General features: G+C 36.8%; 1 protein-coding gene across 1 annotated transcript; it reads right to left on the minus strand.

Moving 5' to 3' along the window:
- Nucleotides 1-2,584: 2,584 nt before the first annotated feature.
- DEFB130A (defensin beta 130A) lies at nucleotides 2,585-9,939 on the minus strand. Its single transcript, NM_001037804.1, has 2 exons — nucleotides 9,882-9,939; nucleotides 2,585-2,766 (listed from the first exon to the last, which is right to left on the minus strand). The coding sequence occupies exons 1-2, from the start codon at nucleotides 9,937-9,939 to the stop codon at nucleotides 2,585-2,587; spliced, it is 240 nt and encodes a 79-aa protein (NP_001032893.1).
- Between the last annotated feature and the right edge of the window lie 4,203 nt (nucleotides 9,940-14,142).

Below are 14,142 nucleotides of genomic sequence, written 5' to 3' on the forward strand. Positions count from 1 at the left end.
GATATCAGAGCAATATTGCCCTAAAATCTCAATGGTTAAGATATGGTCAGGTATTTATAACAACTAGCACAGCAGTAAAAAAACCAAAGGGGTTATCTCTAGATCTATATGTTTCAGATAAAGAGATATAATTCATCTTTGGATTGTCAGAAGACTTTTCTTATCTATTATTTTATATGTGAAGCTGTCCTACTTTTTGAAAGTTTACAGGCAAAGATCTCTACTTGATTGAATTTTCTAACTCCTATTTACTTTCACCTTTAACTGATAATTTCTTTACTATAGTGGTTTTCAACTAGGGACAATGTTGCCCTCAGAGGACTTTTAGTAATGTTAGAGATTTTTATTTGTTTGTTTGTTTAGTTATTTATTTTTTGGTCACAGGTGGGAGAAATGTTTTAGAGGCAAGAGAGGCTGCTAAACATCCTACAATATACAGGAAAGCTCCCCACAGCAAAAAAAAAAAAAAAAAAAAAATTGTTCTTCTCAAAATGTTGACAGTGCTGGAGATCAGACACATTGCTCTACTTTATATTGTATTATCTGTCACTGAACTTCTTTAGTAAATGGCCAATACTGTATGGTAAAATCGAGAGTATTATCCGAAAGAAAATTAAGAAAAACAATCAGAATTAGAAATTAGAGGCTCCTCTGCCTATGGAATACCCATTCTTTTATTCCTTTACTTTCTTAATAAACTTTCACTTAAAAAAAAAAGAAATTAGACTTTCTGGACTGATTCTGTTTGTTCCTTATGTTTTTCATTTCCCTTACCTGTTTTTTCTTCTTGCCCAGATATAAAGAACGTTCTGTCCAGGCACGGTGGCTCACTCCTGTAATCCCAGCACTTTGGGAGGCCGAGGCGGGCAGATCACGAGGTCAGGAGATCGAGACCATCCTGGCTAACACGGTGAAACCCCGTCTCTACTAAAAATACAAAAAATTAGCCAGGCGTGGTGGCGGGCGCCTGTAGTCCCAGCTACTTGGGAGGCTAAGGCTGGAGAATAGCGGGAATCCGGGAGGCGGAGCTTGCAATGAGCTGAGATCGCGCCACTGCACTCCAGCCTGGGTGACAGAGCAAGACTCCGTCTCAAAAAAAAAAGTTCTTTTTGCTTCAGTGAGTTGAGATGTTATATTAATTCAATGTCAAGTCTCTGAAGAAACTTTCACTATTTCACTAAGACGGAGAATAAGAAATGGGTGATGACTTTTTTTTTTTTTTTTTTTGCTTACATTTAATAGAAAAATTTGGACTTAACAAGGGGAAGATAATTTCAGGCAGTAATTCATTTGGATTCTAATGTCTTTGGGCTTTAACATAGAGATAGAAGAGATTCAATCTTTGAACTTCAATTTATGCCTAGAAATTTTATAAGAACACTTGTTTATATTCAAATGTGGGAAGTTTTTCTTTTTTAGCATTTTAATATAGGAGGGTATTTATGACTTTTAAAGTCTCTTAATGTCATTTAATTATCAAAGAATCTCTAATGTGCTACACTGGATAATGTAGTGGCACATAACTTAAGATGGCAAAGAAGAGAGGATGTAAATTTTCAGCTATGTGTAAAATGTATATGGTAAAAATTGTATTAGTGTATTATTCTGAGATTAGCTTAGAATCTGATCTCAGAGTAACATGCCGTTCATGAGTGATTCTGAGAAGATATAGAAAAATTAATGACTAGTATTGAAGAAACAGATCCATGAAGATGAGATTTGAGTTATTTTAATAGACTCCTGACATCTCCTCTGCATAGGGAGATAACCCATCCTCCCCTGATTCATTGACCATAAGCTCTGTGGTTAAAAAAATACAAACCCTTGAATTTTGTTTGTGAGGTAATTTGGCCTCATTCTAGATGTTTTCCATCTTTGTGACACTCATGCCATGTCATACTCCTGGTATCCTCCCTGCCCTTTAATTTTCTTGGCCCCAGGAAATGGACTTATCTGATGGAGAGTTTGGAAAGAACCAGGCATGATAAGTTAGCCACTCTTCAGCTCTACAGCTCCTCCTAGTGAGCCTACTTGTAGAAAGCGGGTCTTCTTTTCTACTTCTCTAGGGGCAGGGGGCAGCAGAGGGGAGATCTGCTTCAAGTGCTGGTATGACTGGAATGGTCATGCGCCTAATTCTCAGGTGCAATGTTAGCAAGGTCACATGATTAGCAGGCTTTAACCCATATTATCTAAGTAGGTCTCTATTAGTAATGAAAATGATATTTGTTCAGAACTGGATGAGGAAGCAGACTGACATTGCACTTCAAATAATCAAACACTGCCTACTGATACTTCATATTCTTATTGTTTTACGTATTTAATATTTTTATCTTTTTTTTCTTAGAAACATTTTTTTATAAGTACCTATAGGGTATGAGATTCTTCTGTTATTTATTTTATTCCTATAGTTCTTAAGAGGCTTGCATGTGCATCAAGAAGAAATGCTCCAGGAGGCAGTCAGTACACATGGGATTAGGACAACATTTATTTCCAGTCAAGGAAGAATAAGGAATTGGGTTAAGCAGGAGTCTGCAAAATTTATCCATCCATTCTGGAGTTCAAAGGGCTTAACGTTTGCTCCCACCTAAGGAGATTTTCCTTTGGGAACCGGAGTTGGATAGGGCTCAAGTATCCACCACCTTCTACAACATTTTTTTCCTTCATTACATATACCAATGGTATCATCTAGTGTGCTGCATAGTTTGTCTCTGCACACCCCTTTCAAAGCAATACACTGTTTTTGTCCTGGAATAACGCCAGTCTTTCCTACACAGGAAGAAATTTAAGAACATCATTAATTCACTATTGAAAATATACATAAAACAATAAACCCCCAGAAGAATGGCTTTGGGATAGGAAAGAAAACATTGTCTATATGAAAGGATCAGACCCGCAGACAGAAACAGCGCCTTTTTATGGGAAGGGAGCTAAGATTGTAGATTATATACACCTTGGAGGAAATAGGCCAATTTCTAAAATCCTTTAAAGGGATTGTCCTCCCCTATTGCAGTACATTTTGAAATGTGTGGGACCATTTGTTCTTGCCACCATGCCTAGGGAAGGTGTCTTTGGTATTTAGCAGATAGCACAGCATTGCTAAATTTTTCACCTAAGGAATTGTCTTGCACCAAACACCAACAATGCCACCACTAAGAAACAGTTTCAAAGGAAGTATGTGTCCCTCCAAATACCCATCTGTGCATACATCATCCCTATCAAATGGTTCATGTGCATATCTTCATCTCCTTTCATAGAAAGCCTATCAATCCTTGAGATTTTATCTAAACTAATTTCCTCATTTCAGAAGTATGTAAGAAATACCTTTCCTATGTTGCTCAATACCTCATAGATAGGTGGAGGAATGGATAGATAGATAGATAGATAGATAGATAGACAGACAGACACCTGCAGAGAATTACTCACAGAGCTAAAAGGTATTTTCCCTTAAGTGTATCCACATGTTCTCTTAATTCATCTGGTTTTTGAGAAGCATATGGCTAAGGGTGTGCTCTAATTCAGTAGTTTTCTCTATGCTTACTATCCTTTCTCTTGCCTTCTCAGCACAACCATAGTTTATTTTTCCTACTGTATATCACTGCAGATGTTATATAAGAAAAACACTTTTGCTGATGTTCATTAACAGACATTAGTTCCTGAACCATCCTGTTAACACACCTGGATCTTATTTTGTTTTTACTGGCCTCTAATATACTACCTCTGGCTTCTTTGCTTCTGTAGATGAGTAACAGTTTGGTGGCCGTTTCAGCTCTCAATCTTTTTGTTGTTGTTTGTTATTGTTTTGTATTTAAACTAGGCTATCATTATTGTTTCTCTACTCTGTAGAAATAGATCCATAGCCAGAAAAACCAATGCAACCTTTTGGAACTGAGTGCTCATAACCTATGCAAGATTGTCTTCCACTCTTGTTAGAAGCTTCAACCTAGTGCAGTCTGGTATTATACTCTACTATCAGACTAGCAGTTCATAAACTCAGGGTTTCTGTGCACAAGAGAATATCATGATGGGGGAGTTGGGCAATATCTTGTAATATTCTCTCTTTTTTCCAAGACTATTGTGGAAGAGAAAGTGGCTGACTTTCAGAGAGAGACCTGAAGTCTCCCCAGCCAGTTGTGGAAGGTGCTGGTTCAACTGCATTGTCTACACAGAACACAGGCTTCATGCTCAGAAGCATAGCAGACCTGTTGCTAGCTGTTGGTCTTTTCCCTGATAACTTCATCCATACATTTAACATCTGGCAACACTGTCAGACTTTTTAAATGAAGCTAAAATCAGGGGGTGTTAGTACTGGGAAAGATATAGTCAGAGGCAGAGTATGGTATCAAGGAGGCCTATGTGTGTGAACTTAGAGGCATCCCATGCAAAATGAGGTGGAATGTGAATCTTCAGCTGAAGCCAAAAGAGTGAACTTCCTCTCAGCAGGATGCATAACCCACTATACGGTAAAGTTCAGCCTACTGACACAGCATGTAGCCTAAGACAGTGCCAATTCCTCTATTTGGGAGATGTCCCTTGCTTCACTCAAAAGGAGTGGAACAATTCATCCTACCAGTGATGTGCTTCTTGCTACATGGGAAGCTTAATTTAAGGAGGTATGCTTTGAGCATGAAGCCAAAGAATTATAATCTCCCTTTTTACCGATGACTGTGACATATCGTCATGCCGAGGGCACTAGTTTAACTCAAAAAGATAAGATTAAATTACTTAATTCAGATTCAGATTCATATTCTTCATTCATGAGGAAGGAAATTTCTTCCCAGATATTCACATTTATTTTCAGACTTACTGACAGAAGTATATACATATAGAGCAAAAGAAGAGAGGCACTCTCTAATACACTTTAGAATTTATTTGACATTAATATGTTATAATGGTTATATCACACGGCAGTTGAGGAAAGGATGCATATTTAATAAGTGCCTTTGGAAAAAGAAACAATTTAGATGTTCACTTCATATTATATCACAACATTAATTTCTGTGGATGCAGTGAGAAGGACTTAGAATCACACTGGAAAATACCCTTAATAGCGCATTCATCTACTTTCTAAAAGGATATAACTTTCTTAGCATTAGAACTCATTGAGTCAGTAACTTTTAAGTTTTTTTTTTTTTTTGGATGATGTAGAGGATTTAAATGGAACAGGATCTGCCTGGAACTTTATCAATCAAAAAATAGAAGTGCAGTTTCCTTTTCTCTACATAATGTGAGTTCAGGCTGTCTTCTGCTCCTGTCCAATGTCGTGTATTTAGATATTATGTTATTCTCCACAGTCAGTGTAAGAAGAATGCTATAATTTTCTTAATTCTCAGAGAGCTAATGCAGCAATCCAAGATTTATGCCATTCTAACCTCTTTAGACTCATATTCCCAGCATATATATGTATGTTTATGTGTACATATAAATCTATATGAACTATTCCAATTTTTTATAGGATACCATGGATTCTTTTTGGATTAAATATAAGGATATATAAAAACATATATTCAAGTAGCTATAACTTAATATTCATCAGACATTAAGCTGATAAACTAATATTTCAGATTAGGTAGTTTCTTTGGAGAAATTTTTTCATGAAAACAATAACTTTTTTTACTTAATTGGATTTTTTTGGTGTAAAAATGTCTTTAACAAAACTCTTCATGATCTAGCCACTCAATTTTTCTTAAAAGAAATTTTATGACATAAAAGTTATATAGGAGTTATAAAATTTCTAAGATTATCAGAATGCTTCTAGACACCTGATAAATTCTACATGCCCAACAGTCACAGCAGAGATTAAGATCAGAATTTTTGGAGTGCAGTGTTATTAAATTGTATAGACAGCTCAGCAATTAACTATTCAGTACTAAGAGACCATACAAAACTGATATTGAAATTCCTATTTTTCGACCTGAGTGTTCTGGGTCCCACTTCATAATGTGTCCAAGAACATCTCAATATGCACAACTAAGGTATTTTGACCTTTATGTATGGTTTTAATATCCTCTGATCACAAGAAACCTGGCTATTCAAAAGTGATTCCCTCCTGTGCAGAATTATAGGACCTTTGTTTAATCCTTCTTCCTGGTATAGCTGATTTGGAAGGAAGAAAGAAGGGCTGATATTTCTATTCCTCCAGGAAGATGTCACGGCTTGAAAGGCAGGCCTCTGAAGGATTCTTGTCGTATTTGTGGGGAGATTAACTCAGCTTTCAACCTCAAATAACCTCTTGTTCTTCATCTTTTATTTTATTGTGGTCGTAACACTTAAAGTGAGATCTACATTCTTAAGAAATTTTTAAGTGCTATAGATATAATATTGTACAGTTGATATTTAGAGCTTATTCATCTAATAAAACTGAAAACTTTTACTCATTAAATAGCAACTCCCTATTTCCTCCTCCCTCCCCAGTCCCTGGAAAGCACCATTCTGCTACCTGTTTCCATGAGTTTGACTATTTTAGGTACCTCATATAAGTGCAATCATGCACTATTTGTCTTCTGTGACTGGCTTATTTCATTTAGCATAATGTCCTCCAGGTTCATCCATGTTGTCACATATAGTAGAAAACCTCCTTAGTTTCCACAATATATAATTAGAAGATTCTGAGAAAAAAGTCTGGCAGAAATCAGAGTTATCGTTTTTGTATGCATATCTCCACCTATGGATTGATTAAAAACAACATTGACCCAGATTAAAGAGATTTGCTTTTAGCTGCGATGTTGCTACTACCTATGTGATCGGAGGAAAATCACATTCTTTATCTGTACATGGGTTTTATTATCTAAAATAAAAACAACTGCCACTAAATTTTATTTTAATTTGAAATTATTACCATCATATAATTTCACATCACATGTCACTACAAGTGTATCTGACCTCAATGGTATCTTCTGACCAAAGCTGAGAACCAAATGAGAATTGCATAAGCTCCTTCAGAAGGAGGCAATCATATGTGAGGTGGATCTCAACATGTCCACAGATTAGGTAAAGATCAAACAATTGAGTAGCTTTGATTGCACTTCAAAGAATCTCAGAACTGGAACAAAACAAGAGTGCCCCCTCTCACCATCCTAATCAACATAGTACTGGAAATACGAGCCAGAGCAATCAGCCTTTTGAAATAAAAGGCATCCGAATAGGAAAAGAAGAAATCAAATTACCTCATTTTATAGATGATATTATTCTACACTTAAGAAACTCTAAAGATTCTTTGAAAGCCTCCTGGACCTGATAGACAACTTTAGTAAAGTTTCAGGATGCAACATCAATGTACAAGATCAGTAGCCTTTCTATACACCAACAATGTTCAACCCGAGAGCCAGGTCAAGAATGCAATCCCATTTACAACAGCCACACAAAAAATTAAATACCCATGAATACATTTAACCAAGGAGGTGAAAGATCTCTACAAGTGACACTACAAATCACTACTGAAAGCAATCACAGGTAACACAAATAGAAAAATATTCCCTGCTGTGGATTGCAAGAACCAATATTGTGAAAATGGCCATACTGCCCAAAGCAATTTATAGATTCAGTGCTATTCCTATCAAACTACCAATGACATTTTTCACAGAATAGAAAAAACTATTCTAAAACTCATATGAAACCATAAAAGAACTCAGACAACCAAACTAATCCTAAGCAAAAAGAGCAACACTGGAGGCATCATCCTACTTGCCTCCAAATTATACTATAAGGCCACAGTAACTAAAATGGCATGGGACTGGTACAAAAGCAGACACATGAACCACTTCAACAGAATAGAGAACCCAGAAATAAAGCTGCACATTTATAACCATCTGCTCTTTGACACAGTTGACAAAAATAAACAACGGGAAAAGGACTCCCTGTTCAATAAATGGTGCTGGGATAGCTGGCCAGCCACAAGCAGAAGAATAAAACTGGATGCCTATCTTTCACCATATACAAAAAATTAACTCATGACGAATTAAATATTTAAATGTAAGACCTCAAACTATAAGACTCCTAGAAGAAAATCTAAGAAACACCATTGTAGATATTGGCCTTGGGGAATAATTTATGACTAAGTACTCAAAAGCAATTGCAACAAAAACAAAAGTTGACAAGTAGAGCCGAATTAAACTAAAGAGCTTCTGCAGAGAAAAAGAAACTATTAACAGGGTAAACAGAAAACAACAGAATGGGAGAAAATATCTGCTAACTATGCATCTGACAAAAATTTAATATCCGGAATCTACAGGGAATTTAAATCAACAAGCAAAAAATAAATAAAGTGGGGAAAAGACATGAAAAACATGAACAGACTCTTCTCAAAAAAAGATAATAGAAGCAGCCAGCAAACATGAAAAGTAGCTCAACACCACTAATCACTAGAGCAATGCAAATCAAAACCACAATGAGAACTATCTTACACCAGTGAGAATGGCTATTATTAAAAAGTTAAAAAATAACAGAAACGCAGATGAGGCTGTGGAGAAAAGGAGTGCTTATACACTGTTGGTGGGAATGTAACAGTCTGAAGATTTCTCAAAGAACTTAAAACAGAGCTACCATTCCACCCAGCAATTCCTACTGGGTATATCGTCCAAAAGAAAACAAATAATTCTACCCAAAACATACCTGCACTCCTATGTTCATCCCAGAACTACTCACAATAGTAAAGACAAAGAATCAACCCAGGTGCTCATCAATGGTGGACTGGATAAAGAAAATGTGGTACATATAGACCATGGAATACTATGAAGCCATAAAAAGGAACAAAATCATATACTTTGTAGCAACATGGATGAGCTGGAGGACTGCAAATTAATGCAGAAATAGAAAACCAAATACTGCATGTTCTCACTTGTAAGTGGGAGCTAAACACTGGATACTCATGGACATAAAGATGGGACATGGGAGACTACTAGAGTGGGGAGGGAGGAAAACAAGGATTGAAAAACTATTTGGTACTATGCTCACTACATGAGTGATGGGATTACCATCATGCCCCAAACCTCACATCACAAAATATACCAACATAACAAACGTGCACATGTACCCCCTGAATCTACAATATAAGTTGAAATTATTTAAAAAATAATCTCAGAGATAAAGGGAGGAAGAGATCTTTGCTCATTGACCACACACTTTATTTTGGGGGCTATGAACATCCCACTATTAACAGTGGAGATAATAATTTTATCATATCTTATCAGGATCTGGATGAAACACCCTGAAGATGTTTGATTCTATATTCCCTTTTCAGTTTGATTCTACATTTCGATATTTAAACTTCTGAATCGTGGACCCTAAGGATGCAACTATGAGTCTTGAAGGGTTTTCTGTACTATTTGTCTTATGCTTAAAATTTTGCCATTAAAGCTTCATGCCACTGTTTATTCTTTTCCCAATTCCCTTGTTCCCAAATTTCTATTGGTCTTTTATAATTTGATGCAAAATTTTCTTGTTGAACTCTGTCTTATTTGCCTAACTGCTACCCTTCACAAATATTCCTCACCAATAGACTCAACATCACTTCCATCCACTACCGAGTTGGAATCAAGAACTATCATCTTCACTCTCCTTTTTGGAGAGTGAAGCCTTGATGATAGCTGTTTGCTTTATTTACTAACCTTTAAATCACATATCAGAGCTTCTATACCCCTAACTCTATTTCGGCCCCATTTTCTAATTATCGAGCTCTTGAACCCCCATTTTCTGTTGAAAGAACTCCTTGTCCTGCTTCTCAATTGTGGCCTCATTAGTACCAAAGAAGAGAAACATGGTGGATTTCTGAATTCCTAAGGCTGTGAATTGGGGTCTGAGTTCGGATGGCCACAGCATAATTATCTCAGTAGACCTCTTCCGGTCTAGGCGTCCCAATAGACTTCTACAATCATTCACCATCTTACCTTTTGGTATTAAAGTCACAAAGAGGAGGAGAACAGAAATAAGGGAATGGAGTTTCATGGTTGAGTGCCCAATAGAGAGGTGAGTGATCAGGGCTGGTGGAACACAGGGGTTTTATTTAATTCTGGGGGCCTGAGGTTCCTCTTGCTCAGTGAAGCTTAACAGAAAGGACATAAAACAGCTTCCGTTGGAATACTTCCAAACTCGAAGGTCTCTAAATTTTGTGACAAATTAACCTAATTATAGGAAACCAGATGGCTAACCCTTTCCTTTTCCTATGGCTCTCAATTTCACCAGAGGTTAATTAATACCTGTAGTTAATTTTCTTTTTTGAATGGGGCTAAGAAGTAAAGCCATGTGGGTACAGAACATCCTTACTGCAAAAGTCCTAGGGCTTGTAAGGAAACATTTCCATAATACACTGTTTTTTTTTGTTTTGTTTTGTTTTTGTTTTTGTTGTAGTTGTTTTTTTGCAAGAGGGACAAGAGTATTGTCTAAGGTGCATTTATGAAAAGCTATGTTTTTCTTATTTATTATTATTTTTTTAACTAAGTTAGTCCTTAAAAGAAAGGCTGTCACTTGTGTGAGGTGTTCTTTTTTTTTTTTTTTGAGACGGAGTCTCGCTCTGTCGCCCAGGTTGCAGGCTGGAGTGCCGTGGCGCGATCTCGGCTCACTCAAGCTCCGCCTCCCAGGTTCACGCCATTCTCCTACCTCAGCCTCCCCAGTAGCTGGAACTACAGGCGCCCACCACCACGCCCGGCTAATTTTTTGTGTTTTTAGTAGAGACGGGGTTTCACCATGTTAGCCAGGATGGTCTCCATCTCCTGACCTCGTGATCCGCCCACCTCGGCCTCCCAAAGTGCTGGGATTACAAGGCGTGAGCCGCTGCGCCCGGCCCTGAGGTGTTCTTAATCACATCCGAAAGGTGGATACATTTAATTCACATTGAAAACAAATATTTTTTCATCGTTATTGATCCTTTGTATAATTATCTCATACAACAAGACAAGCAAGATCAGGAGAGTTGAAAGATAAAAGACAGAGTAAAGTGCGCAGCTCCTCTCAAAAGACTCTGAGCCTACAGCTTAAAGAGATTCCCCTAACCTTTCACCCTAACCCACCACATAGCAACAAAATATTGAAAGCTTAAGAGCATGCTTTAATCAAGAATCAATTGACCAACATCCAACTTACCCAAAACAAATTTACCTTCTGTTCAATTCCTTATTGGCATATTTCCTTGAATTGATATTTTTTTAAATTTGTAAACTTTCATATATGGTGTCAGTCTTTTCTGAAAAATTATATATGCATATATATATAACTTTTATATAGCTTTTATTTGACTACTTTTGATCATTTTCATGTTAGTTGATGTATTTATGAGCATTTGCTAATTTATTTCCTCATTAATAATTTATGCCTTAATAATTTTAGGTTTGAATAAATGTTCCAAAAGACTAATATTCAAAAGATTTTTTGAAAAGTAGAACAAAGCCAGAGAATTTAGACTACCTTGTTTCAAGACAAAGCTACAATAACGAAGACACTGTGATACTGAAATAAGAAGAGACATATAGTTCAACAGAACATAATAGAGAGTCAAGGATACGACCATCATATGAATGGTCTGCATATGGGTAAGACCATATATATTTATCCATGCTTAATGATTTTGACAAAGGTGCTAAGTAAAGTCCTTTTTTTTTTTATGCCCTCATTCTTGTATATGTAACTCATTCAAGTGTTTCGTGTGCAGGTTTGTTACACGGATAAATTGTGTGTCCTGGGGGTTTAGTATACAGATAATTTTCCCAGGTATTCAGCGTATTACTCAACAGGTAGATTTTCAATCCTCACCCTCCTCCCACCCTCCACCCCAGGTAGGCCTTAGTGTCTGTTGTTCCCTTCTTTGTGTCCATGTGTATTCAGTGTTTAGCTTCCACTTTTTTTGTTTGTTTGTTTGAGACACAGTCTTGCTCTGTTGCCCAGGCTGGAGGGCAGTGGCATGATCTCTGCTCACTGCAACCTCCACCTCCGGGGTCCAAGCGATTCTCCTGCCTCAGCCTCCTGAGTAGCTGGGACTACAGGTGTGCGCCACCACGCACAGCTAAGTTTTTGTATTTTTAGTAGAGACAGGGTTTCACCATGTTAGCCAGGATGGTCTCAATCTCCTGACCTCGTGATCTGCCTGCCTCAGCCTCCCAATAGCTTCCACTTTTAAGTAAGAATGTATGGTATTTGGCTGTCCGTTTCTGTGTTAATTTGGTTAGAATAATGGCCTCCAGCTGCATCTGTGCTGCTGCAAAGGACATGATTTTTTCTTTTCATGGCTGCATAGTATTCTATGGCGCATATATGCCACACTTTCTTTATCTAGTCCGCTGTTGATGGGCATCTAGGTTGATTCCATGTCTTTACTATTGTGAATAATGCTGCAATGAACATACAAATGCATGTATCTTTATGGTGGAATAATTGATATTCCTTTAGATATATACTAAGTAATGGGATTGCTGTGTCAAGTAGTGCTTTTATTTTAAGTGTTTTGAGAAATCTTCAGACTACTTTCCACTATAGCTGAACTAATTTATATTTCCACTAGCAGTGTATAAGCATTCCCTTTTCTCCAAAGCCTCACCAGGGTCTGTTATTTTTTGACTTTTAATAATATCTATTCTGACTGGTGTGAGAGGGGATCTTATTGTGGTTTTGATTTGCATTTCTCTAGTTATTAGTGATACTGAGCATTTTAAAAATATGTTGGGTGTCTCTCTGTATGTCTGCTTTTGAGAAGTGTCCATGTTTTCCAAATTTTTAAATAAAGGTTTTAGTTTTTGCTTGTTGATTTAAATTCCTTATAGATTCTGCATATTAGACTTTTGTCAGATGCATGGTTTGCAAATATTTTCTCCCATTCTGTAGTTTGCTGTTTACTCTGTTAACAGTTTTTTTTTTTTTCTCTGCAGAAACTCTTTAGTTAATTCGGCTCCACTTGTCAATTTTTGTTTTTGTTGCAGTTGCTTTTGAGGACTTAGTCATGCATTATTTCCCAAGGCCAATGTCGAACATGATGTTTCCTAGATTTTCTTCTAGAATTCTTATAGTTTGAGGTCTTATATTGAAATCTTTAATCCATCTTGAGTTAGTTTTTTGTATATGGTGAAAGGTAGGCATTCAGTTTCATCCTTCTACATATGGCTAGCCAGCTATCTCCGCCCCATTTATTGAACAGGGAGTCTTTTCCCCATTGTTTATTTTTGTCAACTTTGTCAAAGAGCAGATGGTTGTAGGTGTGCAGCTTTATTTCTGTGTTACAGCAATCTTTATCTCTGGAATAGAGATTCTGTTGCAATGGTCCATGTGTCTGCTTTTGTACCAGTCCCATGTTGTTTTAGTTTCTGCAGCTTTGTCATATAGTTTGAAGTCAGGTAATGTGATGCCTCCAGTGATGTTCTTTTTTGCTTAGGATTACTTTCACTCATCAGACTCTTTTTTTTTTGGTCTCATATGAATGTTAAAATAGTTTTTTCTAACTCTGTAAACATGTCATTGATAGTTTGATAGGAACAGCGCTGAATCTGTAAATTGTTTTGAGCAGTACGGCCATTTTAAGAATATTGACTCTTCCTATCCATGAGCATAGAATGTTTTTTCATTTGTTTGTGTCATCCCTGATTTCTTTCAGCATTGTTTTATAATTCTCATTTAGAGATCTTTCATCCTCCTGGTTAGCTGTATTCCTAGGTATTTTTATTTTTTCTTCCAGCTATTATGAATGGAATTTTGTTCTTGGTGTGGCTCACAGCTTGGTGTATAGAAATGATATTGATTTTTTATACATTGATTTTTCATCCTGCAACTTTACTGAGTATCAGGTCTATGGCCTTTGGGCAGAGATTATGGAATTTTCTCATAATAGAGTCATATCATCTGCGAAGAGAGATAGTTTGACTTCCTCTCTTTCTAGTTGGATGCCTTTTATTTCTTTCTCTTACCTGATTGCTCTGGCTAAGATTTCCAGTCTTTCAACTAGTGGTTCTGAAGACTGAGATACAAACAGAAGTCATATAACCTTTTATTATGTAGCCTGAGAAGTCAGAAAGCATCATCTGCACTGTATTTATTAGTTAAGGCAGTTACAAAGGTTTGCCTCAGATCAAGCAGAGGGAACACAGACTTCACCTCTCAGTGGAGGAGTATCAATGTTACATTATAAAAAGATCTTGTGGGATGGAATATATGTTTTTAGAAAACTACAAT

Source organism: Homo sapiens, chromosome 8, assembly GCF_000001405.40.
Source record: "Homo sapiens chromosome 8, GRCh38.p14 Primary Assembly".
In the NCBI taxonomy this organism is placed as follows: Eukaryota; Metazoa; Chordata; class Mammalia; order Primates; family Hominidae; genus Homo; species Homo sapiens.